Genomic DNA, 20,490 nt, shown 5'->3' on the forward strand with positions numbered 1-20,490 from the left:
AAAATAATAATCTGTGTAGAGGGATTAGAAAAGAAAAAGAATACCAGAAAAAATAAAAAGTAAGGATTTATATAAGTCACAATGAGCCAAGTTTAGTAGCAGATAAAAACATTTGAAATGTTACATATGGATTAACAATTTGAATTGAAAAGATCAGCAATCTTGGAAAAGTATGATTGTAAATCTGTATTTTGTGGTTAATTGAAAAATGAAGACTACAACAAGAGACAGTGAGGGTTGAACTTGCTCAATATCCTTTGCTTAGGAAGTCTGGAGTATACTTAGATGGATGCATGAGCTTGAAGGAAGCTCATTTAATTTTTGTTTTTTGTTTTATTATGTAATTTATAAAGACAATTTTTAAAGCATTGTATAGCCAGAAAAAAAGTTAAACTTAAATTCTGCTTTCATAATTTCTGTTAGGATCCTGAGCTATCACTTATCCACTAGGCCTGCATTTCCATATTTTCAAAAGGGATTTTGATAAATTTAACATCCTTTTCATTTCTGCTTCTGGCTGAAAAACCAGAAGCACAATCCGTGATAGGTAATTTATATATCTTGGCTCTTTCAACTAAATCACATTGCTCTTGAATTTAATATTGCTTTTCTTTGACAATGACTAATGAATATTATTGATTATTACAAGCTGACTCTCAGTTAACTCTTGAAAAAGTATGCATATCTGTTTTATAATGATAGATAACAGAACAACTTTATGATGCATAAACAATGAATCATTGCAAGAAAGGGGTCACTAGAAATTTAAATATTTATAGATTATAAAGTGCATCAAAACTTTGTGATAAGTTAGGCAATAAAGAGCACATTTTATAACTGTCAATTATTTTAATGACTAATATATTTTTCATAAGGAGTGTTACAATGATAAAAGATTGTAAAGTGAGCAATTTTTTAAAAGCTGGTTGATTTCAATTTGCTTACTGCATTAATAAGATACAAATACTTACACTTAAATCATAATAAAAATTCATATGATTACTGAAGGTTGAACACTGCCATATTAATTAGTGAAAAATACGGTTTTAAAAGACTTTAGCAAGAAATACAGTGATTATTTCTAAATACACATAAAGATATGCATTTTTATTTATGCAATACTATTTTGAATATTTCTGCAAATGATTCTGACTTAATTGGAGAACAGCTGAAAAACATATATTAAAGACATATTTGTGAGAGGCAACATACAATGCACTTAATATTCTAGTACAGTCTTGCAAAAACATTAGGAAAATTTCCATTTTATAAAGGAAGAAAATGAAACTCAGTAAGATATAATAATTAACCAGTGATTTAACATTTAATGAGTGGTGACTACAAATTTATTTTCCTCTCTTTCTGCTCCCAATAAAATTTAAATTCATTAATCCTCGTCTTGTTTCTTATATAATAAGATTTTATTCAAACTAGAATGCCTCTTTCTGAAAAAAATATTTATCATAATAGTAGAAAAACATTCATATATATGTATTTTAAGTGAGCAAAATAATTATTTTTGTAGTAATGATAGTATATTTCATAACTTTTAAAGGTAGACAACCAGGATGATAATTTGTAGTGTTCCAAAATTTGAGATTTCATTAGTGAAAGGGATATCCTAAAGCAAGACAAAAAATAGTAGAATAACCAGATAATACGTGTAGGAATAATCCTCCACTATGATTGTGACTTTTAATTCATTTAGTAGTTTAATGAGTTATTTAGTTAGCTTTATAACAAGTACACTACAAGGTGATATTAGTCTGAACATACTGGCTGACTTTATGAAAAATAGAGTCGGCCAGGCGCAGTGGCTCACGCCTGTAATCCCAGCACTTTGGGAGGCCGAGGCGGGCAGATCACAAGGTCAGGAGATCGAGACCATCCTGGCTAACATGGTGAAACCCCGTCTCTATTAAACATACAAAAAAATTAGCCGGGCGTGGTGGCAGGCACCTGTAGTCCTAGCTACTCGGGAGGCTGAGGCAGGAGAATGGCGTGAACCGGGGAGGCGGAGCTTGCAGTGAGCCGAGTTTGCGCCACTGCACTCCAGCCTGGGCGACAGAGCGAGACTCCGTCTAAAAAAAAAGGAGTCATTGTCCCCTCTGAATTTAATATTTCAGTGAAGTTGCCACTCCTGTGAGGTAGAAACTCACTTCTGTCTAACCGCATACAGAAATTAGTCTTTGCAAATGAACTCATATCCTCTACATTCATGAACCTCTTATTCCAAAGCCAAATCCATATAATAAAATAACTGTTCATAAAAGAGCTTTCCAAAGTTGGAAGACATATTGTCACCGTTTCAAATGTCATTTTCTATTTAACATGGTTAAGCTTATAACATGACATTATAGTTTTTTAACTAGTGTAATTTCAAGGTATTATAGAAATTCCCTTCTGCTCCCAAAATAACTCCTCCTTCTTTCACACAGTTCTACATATTGATTGATGTGAGTGGGTTTTAGAGCAGGAATAATCTTCAAAAGTATCTGAATAAAAGCAAACTCTCTGTACTAATAATAATTAAAACATTTTTTCAATGGTGTATGGAGCTTGGACATATCTGGCTCATCCAGATGAACAAAAGCATTATAAAATATGAAGCTGGTGCTAGCTCACACATGGAGGTGAGAAGCTTAGCAGGAGACTCAGGAAAATTCTCATATGCCAAGACTCTCTACACCTAAAAATAACATGCTTACATTTCTTAAGAGAAAGAATAAATATAACTTTGTCTCCATACCACAAGACAGATTGAATTTGACTAAAATGTGAAGCCATTTCTCGGTGCGACAGACAAGTCACTAAGGCACCAAGACCAATTCCATATGCAACAAGATACATCTATGCCTGCTTCTAATCTAGAAACTATGGCTAGGCAGGGGTTCTGTTGTCAGATGCTGGCCATACTAGCAGAAGCTTTTTAAACAGATTTTTAAAAGACAAATTTACCAAGACACATACATTATCATCAATATGGATTTGGCTGATGAGGTTATACAAACCCCTAAAGTGATGTTATGAATGTGACTGTAAAGTACAGAGCAGTTGCTTCAAATGGACAAAGGGTATTCAGAGGATACTCCACATATAAGAACCTCACAAGAGGGTATACCTGAGTACCTCTGGTTTGGCTAACCAAGCAGCTCACGTAACTGCCTATTCTAACTATTCTAATTCAAAACTGCCTACTCTAATTCAAAAATCCTTTGCTATTCCTGAAGTAAGGTGTGATATAAGTTTTTCTGATCTTTCTGCAAATAGTAATCCTTATTTCTGTCGCCTCTCTTTCTATCCACCATTGTATTTTTTTTTTATGTTTTTGTGTACATCACTTAGTCATAGCTGTTCCATAAAGTAATGCATCTGGAACTGACAAAAAGAGTTGATACGATTTAGTAAGAGGTAGAAATGTTGGGATGTTTTCTTTTGGGAAAAGATGAATAGGTTTTGTTTAGTTGAGAGTGCAACAAGTGAATGAGTGGCATGAATTATAGGTATAGACACTGAAACATAAATTTTGTTGATGCTTCCCATTTGACAAACACCATTCCCTTATATAGCAGCTATAGTATTTGGGTACAATTAACCTCAAGGGCTAAGAAATTATTATATAAATTTAATACCTGGAAAAAATGTTTTGCTTTTTCTTTTATTAAAAAATTTTAAGAGGCTTATAATAGGGAGATCACAAATATAAATTATGATGCTTCCAATTGTCAATAACACAAAACCCAGGCTCTTCTGGGTCAAAAGAAAAAGCAAGGACACTACTGGGTCACATGTCTGAAAAATAATTTCCATAAAATGCAAAGAAGTTGCGGACTTCAAGCATGTCTGGTCAAGGTTCAAGAGGCCCTGAAGGCTGTTATTCTATCTCTCAATGATTCTTCCAACTCCTAGGCTCCAAAATTTCAGCCTTCTTTGCTTTGCTAAAGATAATGCGATCACCTTCTCCATACATGGTAATGAAACCATCATAAAGCAGACTGCCAAGAGGGCTGTTGCTTCTGCTGTTAACCAATCAAAATAAAATGTTCTCAGTTTAGGGGTTTCCTATGGTAAAATAGTGGATAATCCTAATTAAAAGTTTTGGAAATGGGTAATATGTTTTAATTTTTTAATTTTACATCCATAATTCTTGACTTCCTATTTACTTGATTAGTGAAAATAACATTGGTATTCTCTTTTACATTTCTCTTTCGGATAAGATATCAATTCTTGATTTTCTATTTTTCGTTTTGCTTTTCACTCTTACTGCTTTCTTGAAAGTTCAGACAATATTACTCTCCCTCTGTGTGTTGTTCATTTCCAAACTATTATGGTGGTAGGGTCGACTGTTAAGTCCTCATTTGTTTCAAGTGAGCAGTCCATATTTTTAGTAACCTCCACACTGCATGGATATCATTTTACAAATCCATCATTCATTAATGAATCAGTTATAAAATATTTATAGAGCATAAAATAAATTCTAAATTCTAGTCTGAGTATATAGCATACAACATTGGCTCTTATAAAACATGGGAGTATCTCCATTAATGTGTCTTATAATTTCATCACATATGTCTTCATCTAACATAGATATTCCACTATGAAAGAACTAATAACAAAGAAGTTACTTGCTGTGTACTCACGACAACCATCACATTACTTGTTAAGATTAAATAACTAGAATGTAATTTGATATTTGTAGGGAAAAACTCAAGTATCTCCTTCAGTAATTTATACTATTACAAGTGAATGAAAGAAAGTTGAAATCAATCAGAAGGCATTATCATTGGTCTGAGTACAGATGTCTTTTTTTTTTTTCTACCATGTTTGGCCATATTTATGCTAGTATATCAAAATAAGAATGGCAACTAATTACGAAATATATTTACAATAAAATAAAGACAATGAAACAACTATTGGTGTATTTTCAGTATATATGTACTGTACAACATTAGGCATCACACTTTAATCATATCCTTGACAAATTAAAGTATTCCTGGAAAAATACATAATAGGATTTAAAGGTTATTGTTTTTATGACTACATAAATATACTATATACTATACTATATTAATATAATTTTGAACTATTTTAGTTGTCTCTATAATTTCCTAATGTCAATAAGAAGTGAAATTTATTGTCTAGAAGCACATAGAAAATTGCCTAATGAAAGCTATATTAATTCATGAATCACAAATATATGGATTCCAAGAATTACAAAGGTTCTCTGTGTATGAGAATGGAAGAATATACGGAGAGAGAAAAACAAAGAAGGAAGAGGAGGGGAAGGAGGAGGAGGAGGAGGGGAAAGATGAAAAGACCTACAATAAGGTGAACTCTGTATCATCAACTTTTAGGGTTTTGTTCCAAAACATTCTTTATTTGATATTTATTACATACATTTATTATATGCTTGGCATTACTTCTGTATGGCAAATTATTCTTGTCATAGTTCTATGAGGAAACAAATACAGTAAAATAAAATAATTAATTTTATGAGAAATCATTTTTTTTTAAATGCCCATGGTATAAGAAAACCACAGGGAATGTTCAGTACCATTGAACTAGAAAGAGTTGGACATCCTAGGCAAACCGAGTGGCAAACGGAGAGAGAAACTGATTATAAGACACTGGAAAAAAATGGTAGTTCTTTAAGGAATCTCCACACTGTTTTCCACAGCGGCCGTACTAGTTTACATTCCCACCAGCAGTACAGAAGTGTTCCCTGATCACCGCATCCACACCAACAACTACTATTTTTTGATTCTTTGATTATGGCCATTCTTACAGGAGTAAGGTGGTATCGCATTGTGGGTTTGATTTTCATTTCCCTGATGATTAGTGATGTTGAGCATTTTTTCATATGTTTGTTGGACATTTGTATATCTTCTGTTGATAATTGTCTATTCATGTCCTTAGCCCACTTTTTGATGGGTTTTTTTTTTTTTTTTTACTGATTTGTTTGAGTTCGTTGTTGATTCTGGATATTAGCCCTTAGTCAGATGTACAGATTATAAAGATTTTCTCCCACTCTATGGGTTGTCTGTTTACTCTTCTGACTGTTCCTTTGGCTGTGCAAAAGCTCTTAGTTTAATTAGGTCCCAGCTATTCATCCTTGTTTTTATTGCAATTGATTTTGGGCTTTGGGTCATGAAATCCTTGCCAAAGCCAATGTCTAGAAGGGGTTTTCCAATGTTATCTTCTAGAATTTTTATAGTTTCAGGTCTTAGGTTTATGTCCTTAATCCATCTTGAGTTGATTTTTGTATAAGCTGAGAGATGAGGATCCAGTTTCATTCTCCTACATGTGGCTAGCCAATTATCCCAGCACCATTTGTTGAAAAGGGTGTCCTTTCCCCACTTTATATTTTTGTTTGCTTTGTTGAAGATCATCCCACTACTGGGTATGTACCCAGAGGAAAATAAGTCATTATTCAAAAAAGATATTTGCACACACATGTTTACAGCAGCACAATTCATAATATAGCAGCAAAATTCATAATAGCAAAGTTGTGGAACCAACCCAAATGCCCATCAATGAGTGGATAAACTCTGATATATATATATTCCATCATATATATATTCTATCATATATATATGAATATATATATTCTATCATATATATGAATATATATATTCTATCATATATATATGAATATATATATTCTATCACATATATATGAATATATATATTCTATCATACATATGAATATATATAATATTCTATCATATATATATGAATATGTATATATTCCATCATATATGTGTATATGTAGATATAGATATATGATGGAATACTACTCAGCCATAAAAAGGAATGAATTAACAGCATTTGCAATGACCTAGATGAGATTTGAGACTATTATTCTGAGTGAAGTAACTCAGCAATGGAAAACCAAACATTCATGTTCTCACTGATATGTGGGAGCTAAGCTATGGGGATGGAAAGGCCTAAGAATGATACAACGGACTTTGGAGACTTGGGGGGAGGATGGGAGACGGAGAGGGATAAAAGACAAGAAATATGGTACAGTGTATACTGCCTGGGTGATGGGTGCACCAAGTTCTCACAAATCACCACTAACGAACTTACTCATGTAACCAAATACCACCTGTACCCCAATCACTTATGGAAAAATAAAATTAAAAAAAAATAAGACACTGGAAGCAAAACTACCTTACAAAAGCTGTGACCTTTGGCTGATGGGTGAAACTGATGGTGCCCTGATAGGGAGTTAACTGAAGAAGTAAATGACATCACTTAACTGTCTTTCCCCCTTTCTATTGTTTACCTCTGGCTGAACCCCAACCATTTAGAATCCCAAAAGGCAAAGGACCCATTAATATAATCCATTAGAGTCAGGCTACCCGGGAACAGAGGAGGGCAGTGGAGAATAAAGAGCACCTCTGAAGAGGGAGATGCTTGATATTTAGCCCATAGGAGAAACTGAAAAATACAGATACAAGTTAAAGAATTTTTTTTTTTGTAAATCTTGTGCAACTTAGAGAGCTATGTTTTTCATTGTTCATAATTATATACACTGAACTTATAGCATAGTGCCTAGTAAATTGTAGCAACACAATGCAAATTTGTAAATAAAAATATGTATGAATAAGGAAGCATTGACAATAATTCTTAAATTATTTAAAAGTGGAATAAAGAGTACTCTTGTTTTACTTTGCTCCAGAGAATTAGAATTATGACCAGAGGATTATACATAAAAGGAGGCTAAACAAATGGAATACATTGTTTTAAAAAACTAGAAATTGTCTGCTAAATAATAAAATGCCATATTAGTGCTGAGCTTTCTGCCCAATGGACTCATTCCAGTAGAGATATGGTCTTTTAGAAAGGATAGAGTAGAATGAATACAGGCATTGAATAGGTTCTTGGACTGGCTGAACACTAATATCTCTACCACTTCTAAGAGCCTTCAGTTATGGAGCTCACAGGATAAATTTATTTCAGTCTTAGAATCAGGAGAGCTGTGCTTTTTCTTGAGGAACCATTTGTTGTTAGCCCCTTAGGATATTCTATATCTCTGCAAGGATCTTTGCTTTGAAAGTTAGAAATTTTAGACTCAAATTTGTTGTCCATTTTAGCAGATATGTAGAATGTTTTATAACTGTAGGATTTGCATATTATCACTACCTCTGGCTTTATCTTATTTTTCTTATGTGCACCATATATCTAATCTATTTTTTAATATTGTTGGTTATTTTCTGATGCATTTATATGCCTTTGTGGGAAAGAAAGGATATAAACAAAGTCCATAATTCTGTTGTTTTAAAATTCTTAATAAATTCAAAGAGAAAAACATATGTGGCTGAAAATGTATTTAAATTCTCTTACAAAACACATATTACAGGGATGTGTTTGCACTGTAAATTTTATCTCACCCCTTCACCCTTCAGGAGGTAGATTTCTAATTTGCCCAAAAGGGGCTGATGAATGTCCAATCTTATAAAATAAAATTTCTACAAAAAAAAGAATTTTAGCTAACTTCTCTCCTTAAGTTTGAAATTATAAAAATATTTCTGATATTTGAGATAACCTTAGCATGGATTTGAGTACAGAAAAAATATCAATAAATTTCTAGGAATAATTAATTCAAGTAAATAGATGACCAGGTTCGATGCCAGAACTGAATCCACCATGGTGTCAGGGATGTGTTCGTGTTATGTGGATGCAGTGGGAAACCTCTCTGCAATCAACAACTTTAGAACTAGAAGTATGCACTAAAATTAAAGACTGGGTGTGAATGAAAAAAATGCACAAGAAAAATAGTTGGAGAGAAAGATAAAATGGTGCAAGTTAGGCACATCTATGCATAAGAGGAGTCTTCCCTTGCTTTTCCTGGACCTCACTCCAACATACAGGCACAGACACCAGGGGACCTTCATGATGAGAGAAAAAGAGCCACCGCCACTTTCAAAGGGAACTTTTTTTTGGCAGTAAACACCAATGTATTTCTCTGTTTGATGCTTATAACTAGGATAGACCTTGCCAACAATGTTTTGAAAGTAATTATAATTCATGAAAATATTTGTATGTGTATATGTCTGTTGCTAGTTGAAATATATTAAGAAAATTTATATTAATTGTAGAAGAAGAAAGATGTTTTTCCTCACCCATTGCAATGTTCATGGTTGAGGCTCTTATAACAAAAGACAGATTAATAAGAGAAAAGCATACAGAAGCATTTAATATAAGGTTTGTATGACACAGGAGCTTTCATAAGGAAATAAAAACTCAATGAAACAGGAAAATGTGTGTAATTTTATGCCTAGGTTTGATGAAGAATGGACAGTCATGTGGAAGCATGATTGGACAAAGGAGGCATGATGTTATGATAACACACTAATGGGAATTAGCAAGTTCTGTTTGTTCAGAGTTTTCTGTGTACCTGTGTCTGCAGGGATCAGGATGTGGCTTTCCTCTGGGTATGGTGAGTGCACTGTTCGAAGGAGGGTGTTGAAACTGCTCTGCTGTCTGGGGTATATATCCTGGGGTTCGTTGTAACGTGCCAAGAAAGAATTCAGGACATGGACACATGTAGGTGGGTTAAGGAGTGGAAAGTTTAATAGAAGAAAGGACAGAGGAAAGCAGCTCCTTGCAAGAGAGGAATGTCCAAAAAGGTGGGAGGCGGGAGACGGCAGCAGATTTTATAGGCAGGTTGGAGAAAGCAGTGTCTGATTTACGTAAGGCTCACAGATTGGTTCAATCAGGTATGACATCTACATAGTTCTTGGGGAAGCCTGGTCGCCCACCCTAATCTTATTATGCAATGGGCTTTCCAGTTGATCAGTGCCATCTTGTCTGCTTCTTACTGTACACGTGGCTGACAAAGAGAAGGGAAGATGGAGCTGCCATCTTGAACATGATTTGTTGAACATGATTGGCACAACTGCCGGTATCTATGTCTGCAGCTCAATTTTACAGGCTGCTCTTTGTTAGAAAGAAAAATAATTTGGGACTGCTTTTCATTAAAAAGAAAAGCCTTACCAAGGATTCCCATGCCCTTGCTATTTGCCTAAGTTATTCCTTCTTAACTCCTATATCATTGTTATGATCTGTTTCAAAGGAGAAGGGTGAGAGAAAGTCAGAGAATGACCTTCTCACATTTTATTATCTGCTTCAGGAGAGAAAGGATAAACAGAAGGTGAGAGCCACCTTCTGGCTTCTGCAGCTTTCTCACATGCCAATGTGCCATATTTTGGGGTAGTGTGTCCTGAACTCCATCACCGATTAAACTAAACTTAACATGCATATTTAGTTTCTAGTAATGAAAATAATTTTCATTTGTATTGGCATTATTTGATGCTCAAAAAACCATGTGAAATAAAAACAAAATACTTTAATCTCATTTGACAATCAAGCTTAGTGGGTTTATGTGACCTAAAGATATTACTTAGTATTAAACGAAATTAGAGTTGTCATCTAAGCCTAGATTTTGCCCAACAATTTTCACATTAACAAAATGGGACTTCCAATCATGACTTATTTTACACCAATAAATAATGATACTAAGAGTTAACTAATACTATATTGTAGAATAATGTAAAATAAGAAACATCGTGCTGCTTTTATGGATGAACATGAATTTTTATAAATAAAGAAACATGTACATGTAAAAATATTCTCCTGAAAATATGTATGGCTAAAACAGAGGCTGAACAATTATCTATTTCGTCGAAGCCTGTCATTTTTAAGAATTCCAGTCCCACTGAAAGTGGGTGCTGAAATTTTTGTAAGCATCTATGTTCTAATCACATTTCATGGGGTAAATTGTTGTTTTAATCCAAAATACTTGTGGAAAACCTTTTGGGAATTCCATTTTGGAAAATGCAAACACTTTTTTACATTCTTACATGATTTTACTACAGGGCTCATTGCAGTCTCGGTTTCCTAGGCTCAAGGTATCCTCTTGCCTCAGTCTCTTGGACAGCTGGAACTACAAGCACGTGCCACCATGCCTGGCTAAATTTTTGAATTTTTGTCGAGACAAGGTCTCACTTTGTTACCCAGGCTGGTATCCTGGAGTCAAGCAGTGCTCCCAATTTAGCCTCCCAAAGTGCTGGGATTACAGGCTTGAGCCACTATGCCTGGACTGAATGTATATTCAAAAAGGGAGCACATGGCCAAAACTTTGAAACTCATGCAGTGTAAATTTGAAAGCTAAAATCATAGTTTTTAATACATAACAGAACTGTGAGAAAATTTAAAAGGTTTGGTCAAAATTATTGCATAATTGGCACCAAATACCTAGATAATTATAGTCAAAATTTCCTTAGTACAACACTCCTAAAAGCTAGCTCTTTATAGAGCATAAAAATTTTGTAGAAATCATTTTAGTATATAGCAAAAATAATTTTGTATTTTTAAAAAATGTTAGTTATACTTTATATCTCTCTCCATCTATGAAATAAGTAAAACTATAAATGTTATAGTTGAGGTAAGCCAAACTTAAACAACTTATCAATTCAGCCAGTCACCAGGAAAAAACTCTTTGGACACCAATCATCTAGCAAAATGTTGGTGATAAGTAAATGTGTTGAGTTCAGCTGAATAGTGATAACTTGTTATAACTATATTGAATTGATGATATATTAAGTATGGGTTTACTACAATCTAACATAAATGAACCTCCAGCCTACTGCCCCTTCAGTCAAATAATAAAAGGATAAGGCAAAAAAATTAAATGCATACACACTCACACAGACATACACAGACCCATGGGCAATTCACTCATATGTATTACTGGGATAGAGCTCATTAAAATGGTCTCACATAGCTAAATGTAATAATACAAGAAAGACTATCTAATATCAAATTCAGTATTCCTAGATGTGAATATTTTCAGAAATACCAGATAGGTTAATTTAGCGGAAAAAATGAAGAGGGGAGTGAGGAGGTTGATTGATTTGGCTGAGCATTTGCTCTTATTCTGATCTACTATTAGCCAAGAAGCTTTGGTTAGACAATTTTCACTTTTAGCATGAGATGTGAAGAGCATACTTCTTTTTTTTTTTTCTTTTTTTCTTTTTTTGAGATGGAGCTTCACTCTTGTTGCCCAGGCTGGAGTGCAGTGGTGTGATCTCAGCTCACCGCAACCTCCGCCTTCCAGGTTCAAACGATTCTCCTGACTCAGCCTCCCCAATATTTGGGGCTACAGGTGCCTGCCATCACACCTGGCTAATTTTTTGTATTTTTAGTAGAGATGAGGTTTCACTATGTTGGCCAGGCTGCTGGTCTCGAACCCCTGACCTCGTGATCCACCCGCCTGGGCCTCCCAAAGTGCTGGGATTACAGGCATGGTTTTTTATGCAGATCACCTCAAATTGCATGTTATTGAATTTTAGGATTTATATCCATTAGAATTTTTCAACATGAGATATTCAAAATAATGTCTTTAAAATGTTTTTAAAAGATAAATCAAAATAAACAACTTTTAAAAGTTAGTTTATGAAATTTGACAGTTTCCTCTAAAATTTTTTCTTTTTTCCTTAAATATTAGTAATTTGTATTCAAGCTAAATTTTATTTTAAGGTTTTGACTGAGTTTTAAATTAATAGCTTATTATTAATTAAAAGATCATGTATCAAAAGGTTTTTTTCTTTTTGGTATCATTTCACAGTTTACTCACTAAGTCTCACCCAGTGAGTCTCATCTTTCTTCAGTGGTCTTAACAATTTTGGCCTTGAGTTAATTAATTCAAAGTCTCCAGGAATGAAAGAAAGAACAAACTAGGTTCAGCCACCTCATTTTCCATTGATGGTAAAAGAACTTTAGCAATGCAAGGTTCTAATCATAAGGCTTAAAACAAAACTGGGTTGCTGCATTATCTTCCAATAACTTAAACATACTAAATATGCAATATGTTTCCTGAAAAAAAAAATTCAAGTCACATTTACATCTAAGTGTGTTTCATTTTATAAGCACAGATTGATTATTATTCTGATATCTTTTCATCCAGTTAAATGTTTAAAAATTAAGGACCATGCCTTATCAATCAATGCATCTTTTAAGTCACGGTCACAGCCTGAAGTTTTTATTTCCAGTTTCTCAGCTAAAGGAATAGAGTTCAGCAGTGCATTTAATTGGAATTTAGACATCCTAACATTTTATTTCCCATCAGAATGGTTTCAATTTCTAACAAATGGTCTGCTGTATTAAAGTAATCATCAATATAGGAAGTGTTAGTTTAAGAAAAAGATACTAGGTAAGTGAAGAATTTTAAATTACTAAGAGACGTATTTACACTTGAGATTTCCATGCCTTTGAAATGTTTAAAACCACTAGCCCTAGGAGATGTACTATGCACCAGTGAGAACAGTTTAGGAAGATTACGTTAGAAACTGCTTGCATTTCTCATTGAAGCAAAGTTAAATCCATGTGTTCATTACAGTCAAAAAAAGAAAATACGCAAAACTTTTTAATAGTGTCTAGTATAAATACTAAAGATTAATTTATTTCATTGCTGAGAGCAAGTCTTAATTCTTCAATTGGTTAAAAGTAAAATTACTAAAATTATCCTAAGAACTTGTGGTGAAAACAGAAACCTCTTTCTTTTAGTCATGTGGCACGCACACATACACACATAACACATACTTATATTTCTATATTCAGGCAGTTGTAAAAGACAGGATGGGTCTGATCTGTTTGTTAAATGGCATAAAAAGTGTTGGAAGGATGGATCCAGTGTGAAGTGGTAAGGGTCAGGCAGATAATGAAATACTGTCCATGATAACTCTATAAATGGGGCATGAGAAAAAATAACTGTCTAAATTGTTATTTATTCTATCATTAGCACTAGTCTACAATCAGCAACCAAAGAACATGTGGTTTCAATCACATGAATATTCAATACTAGCAAGACATTTAGACAGAAATTCTAATTTATTCCTAATTTTGTAAAGTGTTAAACAATTTTCCATTAAGAGATATGTCCACCGACACCAGTATTTCACTTAGTGAATTGGGATGGGATAAGGTTCTACTTCTAAGCCGTCCTCCACAGTACTGAGTTTTCTTCCACTGTTCCATCCTTAAGGCAATGGCAGAATACATGATGAGTAAGAGAGGAGAATGCATGTATGCTAGATTCTTTTGACAATACATTTGGATAAAGAACTTCAATCCAAAGTAGTATAAGCATACTCAGGTTATCTCTGAGATTACTATTTTCAAAGTATAATTGAGAGTAAGTAACTCTCAAGAAGAAAGATAGTAATTAGTATTTATCCTATGAACAGGATAAAGAAAAATAAGTTGTAATTCTCTTAAAGTATAAAAAACTATTTAATTTAAATATTCCAAATTAATTGAAGAAAACAAAATATTATACAACTAGCTAGTAAAAGAAATCTTAATTTGATTAAGTATTGATACACAAAGCATTGTGATTAATATCAGACTTAATATCTTTGAAGTTAAATAATATAAATACTGAATTTGCTGTATGCCAGAGGTTCTGGTATGTTATGTTTTCATCTTCATTAATTATTTTTTAAATTTCTGTCTTAATTTTGTTGTTGACTAAAAGACAGTACAGGAGTATCTTGTTTAAACTATATATATTTGTATAGTTTCAAGAGTTCCTCTTGAAATTGATTTCTAGTTTTATTTTGCTGTTGTCTGATGAAATACTTGGTTTGATTTTGAGTTTTTAAAATTTATTGAGACTTGTTTTGTAGCCTAACAGATGGTCTATCTTGGAGTATGTAATTAGTGCAACCTCTCTGGAAAACAGTATGAAAATTTCTCAAAGAATTAAAAACAGATCTACCATTCGAACCAGCAATGCTGTTACTGGGTAACTATCCAAAGGAAAATAAATTATTATGTCAAAAAGATAGCTGTATAGTATTAAAAAGATACTTGTATAGTATCAAAAGATAGTATGTTTATATTAGCACTATTTATAGTACCAATAGTATGGACTAAAACAAAGTGTTCATCACTGGAAGACTGGATAAAGAATAATTGATATATACATATGTAACAGAATAGTACTAAGACATAAACAAGAATAAAATCATGTCTTTTGCAGTAACATGGATGGAACAGGAGGTCAATTATCTTAAGTGAAATAACTCAGAAACAGTCAAATACTGCAACTTCTTACTTATAAGTGAGAGCTAAATAATATGTACACATGGACATAGAGTGTAGAATACTATACATTGGAGACTTGGAAGTGTGAGAGAGTGGGAGAAGGGTGAGGGATGAGAAATTTAGGGATACAATGTACACTATTCACATATTCATGTCACAAAACTGCACTTGGGCCCCCTACATTTATAATTTATTATATTAATTATAATTAATTAATTACTTCTGTAATTACTTCAGAATTACAGAAGTTTCTATTTAATATTATGAAGTTTCTATTACAGAAGTTTCTATTTAATATTATGCTGAAAGATAAAAGCAAAACCATTAGTACCTTACCAGTATACTATTAACTACTTAAAAAAATCTAACAGAAAAAAATACAGTGAACAAAATATATACTCACAGTCATAATGTTTATAAGATTTCAAGGGATAATTTTTATAAGATTTGTACTAGAACATACAGAAAAGCATAAATGTTACTAAAGAACAACATAAGACATTCATGAAAATTTGCACTGAATATTGTACAGATGACAATTATCTCTACCAGTTAAAACTGGATTTGATGCCTGTATTAGTCCATTGTCACACTACTAATAAAGATATTCCTGAGACTGGAGAGTTTATAAAGGAAAGAGATGTAATTGACTCACAGTTCAGCATGACTAGGGAGGCCTCGGGAAACTTACAATCATGGCAGAAGGGGAAGCAAACATGTCCTTTTTCACATGGTGTCCGGAAGGAGAGGAATGTGAACCAAGTGAAGGAGGAACCCCTTATAAAACCATCAGATCTCATGAGAACTTACTATCACAAGAAGAGCATGAGGGTAACCGCTTCCATAATTCAATTACCTCCCACTTGGTCCCTCCCATGACACATAGGGATTATGGGAACTACAATTCAAGATGAGAGTTTGGTTGGGACATAGCCAAACCGATGTGTACACAGAAACATATTAACATCAGAGTCTATTTTACTCATTCAAAATTTTTGGTCAGAACCTTCATGGCTTGGTGAAGCTACTCAATGAATTCATCAATATCTCAGGCTTCTTTTATCTTTCTCTTGCATTAATCTTAGCATGAACATATTTTGAAGATAAACATAATTTTATTGAACACGAGATATGCGGCTATAAATGAAAGCTAGAAATATCAATAACTACAAGTTTTTGAGTATCAATTTGAAGAACAGAGTTGTTATCAACGGAGATTGATAAGATGCTGGTAGAAATAGGGTAGATCAGTAGCTCATTATCAGTAGTTATGTAGGAAAGTGCATGTACAAGCCTCACATGTCTATTCTGGAGATGTAATTTGGGATCATAATCATACACAGATGTGAGTTAATGTAATGATACTGAAATTTATCCTCAAAGGAATATATGCACATAGAAAAGAGGACCAAGGACTGAGCCCTGAAAGAGTCCAACAGTATAAGTTAGCACAGGAGTGGAGAAACAAGCAAAAGAATCTTAAAAGTAGTGCCTATTGAATCAAGTGAAAACATAGGAGAATAAGGTGATTTGGAAAAAACTGAAAAGAATGAATTAAGGGCAGTTATCACAAAGAAAGGGCAACCAATGCAATGGAAGGAAAAAATTGCAAATCATATATTTGGTAATAATACATAAAGAATATATATGAGGAATTTCTACAACTTGAAAACAACAACCCAATTAAAAATTATCAAAGGATTTTCTGTTTTAGTCTGTTTTCACGCTGCTGAATACCCGAGACTGGGCAATTTACAAGAAAAAGAGGTTTATTCACTTACAGTTCCACATGGCTGGGGAGGTCTCACAATCGTGGTGGAAGGCAAGGAGAAGCAAATTACACCTTATGTGGATGATAGCAGGCAAGAAGAGAGCTTGTGCAGAGAAACTCCCATTTTTAAAACGGATCTTGTGAGACCCATTCCCTTTCACGGAGAATGGCATGGGAAAGACCCGCCCCATGATTCAATCATCTCCCACCGGGTTCCTCCCACAACAGGTGGAATTATGCCAGCTACAGGATGAGATTTGGATGGGGACACAGCCAAACCATATAAACTTAAATGTACATTTCTTAAAAAAACATATAGAAATGGCCAACAAGCCCATGAAAAGATGCTCAACATTACTAATCATTAGAAAAGCAATTCAAAAACCACAAACCACAATGAGATATCACCTTACACCCGTCAAGATAGGCACTATAAAAATAGAAAATAATAATGGTTGGCAAGAATGTGTAGAAGTTGGAACCCTTATGTACTGTTGGTGGGAATGTAAAATGTACTGCCATTATAGGAAACAGATTGAGGTGCCTCTAAAAATTAAAAATAGAATTACCATTTGGATATAGCCCCACTAGTAGAATATACCCAGCAATGCTACTACTGGGTATATATCCAAAGTAATTCAAAGCAGATTCCAAAATGATATTTGCATACTTTTGTCTACTATTGCCTTATTCACAATACCCAAGAAGCAAAAGAAACTCAAATTTCCACTGACGAATGAATGGGTTTAAAAATGTGTTTATATATATATATATATATATATATATATATATATATATAATAGAATAGTATTCAGTCTTTAAAGAGAAGAAAATCTTGTCTCATACTATAATATGGATGAACCTCAAGGTCATTAAGCTAAGAGAAATAAGCCAGTCACAAAAGGAAAGATACTGTATGATTCCAGTCACATAAAGCATGTAAAGTCATAAAAATTATAGAAGCACAAATAGAAAGATGATTACTGAGGTCTGGATAGAGGGGGAAGAATTATTGTGTCGTGAGTACAAAGTTTCAGTGTTGCAAAATGAAAAATATTATACAGCTCTTCTGCGCAAAATGTGAATGTACTTACTACTGAACTGTAAACTGAAAGGAAAGTATCTTGGGTCCCTTCAAGCTGTGAACTGCTCAGGACAAATCTGTCTCCCATTCTATTCAAAGTCATCTCTCTCCTTACAGGAATAGATGCATATTCTGATTGCCTCTTCTGGAAAGACTTATCAGAAACTCAAAAGAACACAACCATCTGTCTCTCACCTACATGTGACCTGGAAGACCCCAGTTGGCGGCAGTGGGGTGGGCCTTGCTTTGATCTCTTTCCCCCTTTCTAGATGGAACTAATGTACTTTTACATAGATTGATTGATGTCTCATGTCTCCCTAAAATGTATAAAACCAAGCTGTGCCCCGACCACCTTGGGCACATGTCGTCAAGACATCGTGAGGCTGTGTCACGGGTGCATCCTCAACCTTGGCAAAATAAACTTTCTAAATTAACTGAGACCCGTCTCAAGTTTTGGGGGTTTACAACACTTAAAATAGTTAAGATGGTAAATTGAATGTTATGTATTTTTTTTGTTACATTAAAAAAAGGATAAACTTAGAGCTCATGTCAAATGTTTCTGTGAGATCAAGCAGAAAATGAAGATCAAAAATAGACCATTGGTTTTAGCGACATTGACTCATTGGTAATTTCAAGAGCTATAGTTTTGATAGCTTGGTGAAAGCTAGATTGTTTTGATTCAGACAGGAATGAAAATGGGATTTGAGCCAGTGAGATTACATAATTATTTTATTTTTTGAAGTATTTTGTCCAAGGCGGAGCAAGTAAATATAGCTGTAGCTGGGTAGATATTTAGAAACCTCCCTTTCTCTCTCTCTGAGACAAATGAGTTCCTTCCACCTGTGAGCCTGTAAAATCAAAAGCAAGTTAGTTACTTCCTAGATACTATTGGGGTATAGGCATTGGGTAAACACACCCGTTACAAACAGAAGAAATTGACCAAAATAAAGGGGCTACAGGCCCCATGCAAGTCTGAAATCCAACAAAGTAGTAATTAAATCTTAAAGCTCTGAAATAATCTTGGAGAATCTCTCACTATATCGATATAGATATCTATATATCTCTCTATATATATAGACAAATATCTGTCTATCTTTAGTAAAAACTAAATCCATGATGTTGCAGAGAGAAAAGAGTGTTAATTGATGTTCTTCCATAGCTGAAAGGAGTTAGGATCTAGTGTACATATAGAACGACTTGATTTTGATGGGAGCATTCATATTTGTAGGTTAATAGCTGAGAGCAATATATGTGTAGATGTAGTGGTGTGAATTTTTGAATGGTTCCACACTGGCTGCTGTTGTTTATTTCCGCTTCAGTTTTTCTCCTGCCTTCCTGGCAAGGGAAAATATAATGAAATAACGGTGAGAAAACAATAGCGTTTATGTCAGGAAAGCAAAATTATCCCAGATATTCTCAGCAAATATCATTTATGGATATTCAATGGCCACCATTTTATCTAATGCTAACAAATGTTTTGCTTTATTTTTTCTAGTTGAGCATTTTATTGCCCTGGAAAAGATTGTGGTTTTGTTGCAAGGAAGAAGAGAAGAATGACATTTTTGTGGGTAAGAGGCCATCTATTTTATATTCAATGATTATCTCAAAATAATCTTTCTTAGAAATTGACAAGCTGGAGTTAAAACTCTTATAGACAAGAAAATTGCCAAAGAAAAAATGTTTAATAAAAAAAGGGTAACACATGTGTGTATTTAGTGTCTGGCTATTAAAGTATTAGCAAGCAATAGTAATTAAATGAGAAATGCTTCAGTTATAAACATTTATTAATATGACACAATATGGTCCAGAAAAATTATAATTCTAATGTGAACTAGAAGCCTTGACACTCCTTTTGGCTTGACTAAGATATTTTCCCGACTCTAAGCCCCTGTCCCTCCATTTTTTGAGCGCTGGTTTTAGAAAACCTGTAATGATTTTTCAGCTACATTGAGATGTAAATTATCTCCAAAACTCTTGCCATTTTTACAACCCAGGAATGCCTTGGACCTTGGAATTATCCCTCTAAAATGTAATCTTTAAGAACAGTAGAGCCTGTATCTTCCTCCGTCTGTGGGAAGATAAGGACCTAACTTCAGTAAACGTCAATTAACAAGCACATTGGCCTAATTTCACTGGCCAACCCTCATTTTAATGTCCTCCAGTTATTTTCTCACTAAGGCACTTCGGTGCTTAAAAACTCTCCTGCATTTTTTTTTCCAGAAGAATTGGGTTCTGTCTCCCAATTAGGATAGACTTGACTGCAACTGAAATAGCCTTGAAGTCTTCCTTGCCTGCTTAACTCTCTCCTGCAATTTCTCTTTGACAAATGAAACTGTATGTGATGGCAGTGATATTACAAAGCTATAAAATTCTATGATTCTTTATTCATAAAATTGCATGAGAAGATTGGGTATCCAATTGGAGAAAATATTTCTGTTTCACACTAATTGCAAAAATAAAATCCGAGTAAGTTAAAAATATAAATGCTAAATAAACTCATGAAATTATAAAAATGTAGGCT

General features: G+C 33.8%; 1 long non-coding RNA gene across 2 annotated transcripts in view; it reads left to right on the forward strand.

Annotated features, from left to right (window-relative positions):
- The window catches only part of LOC105370284 (uncharacterized), a 43,873-nt gene that overhangs the window by 18,318 nt on the left and 5,065 nt on the right, over window positions 1-20,490 (forward strand). Inside the window, exons 1-2 of one of the 2 annotated variants that reach the window (XR_942127.3) lie at window positions 18,100-18,203; window positions 19,465-19,537. This is a non-coding gene — a long non-coding RNA (uncharacterized LOC105370284). Of the gene's footprint in view, window positions 1-18,099; window positions 18,204-19,464; window positions 19,538-20,490 lie in introns of those variants that run through there. The other variant, XR_001750061.1, reaches the window with a different exon arrangement.

The sequence above is a fragment of the Homo sapiens genome, chromosome 13 (genome assembly GCF_000001405.40).
Source record: "Homo sapiens chromosome 13, GRCh38.p14 Primary Assembly".
In the NCBI taxonomy this organism is placed as follows: Eukaryota; Metazoa; Chordata; class Mammalia; order Primates; family Hominidae; genus Homo; species Homo sapiens.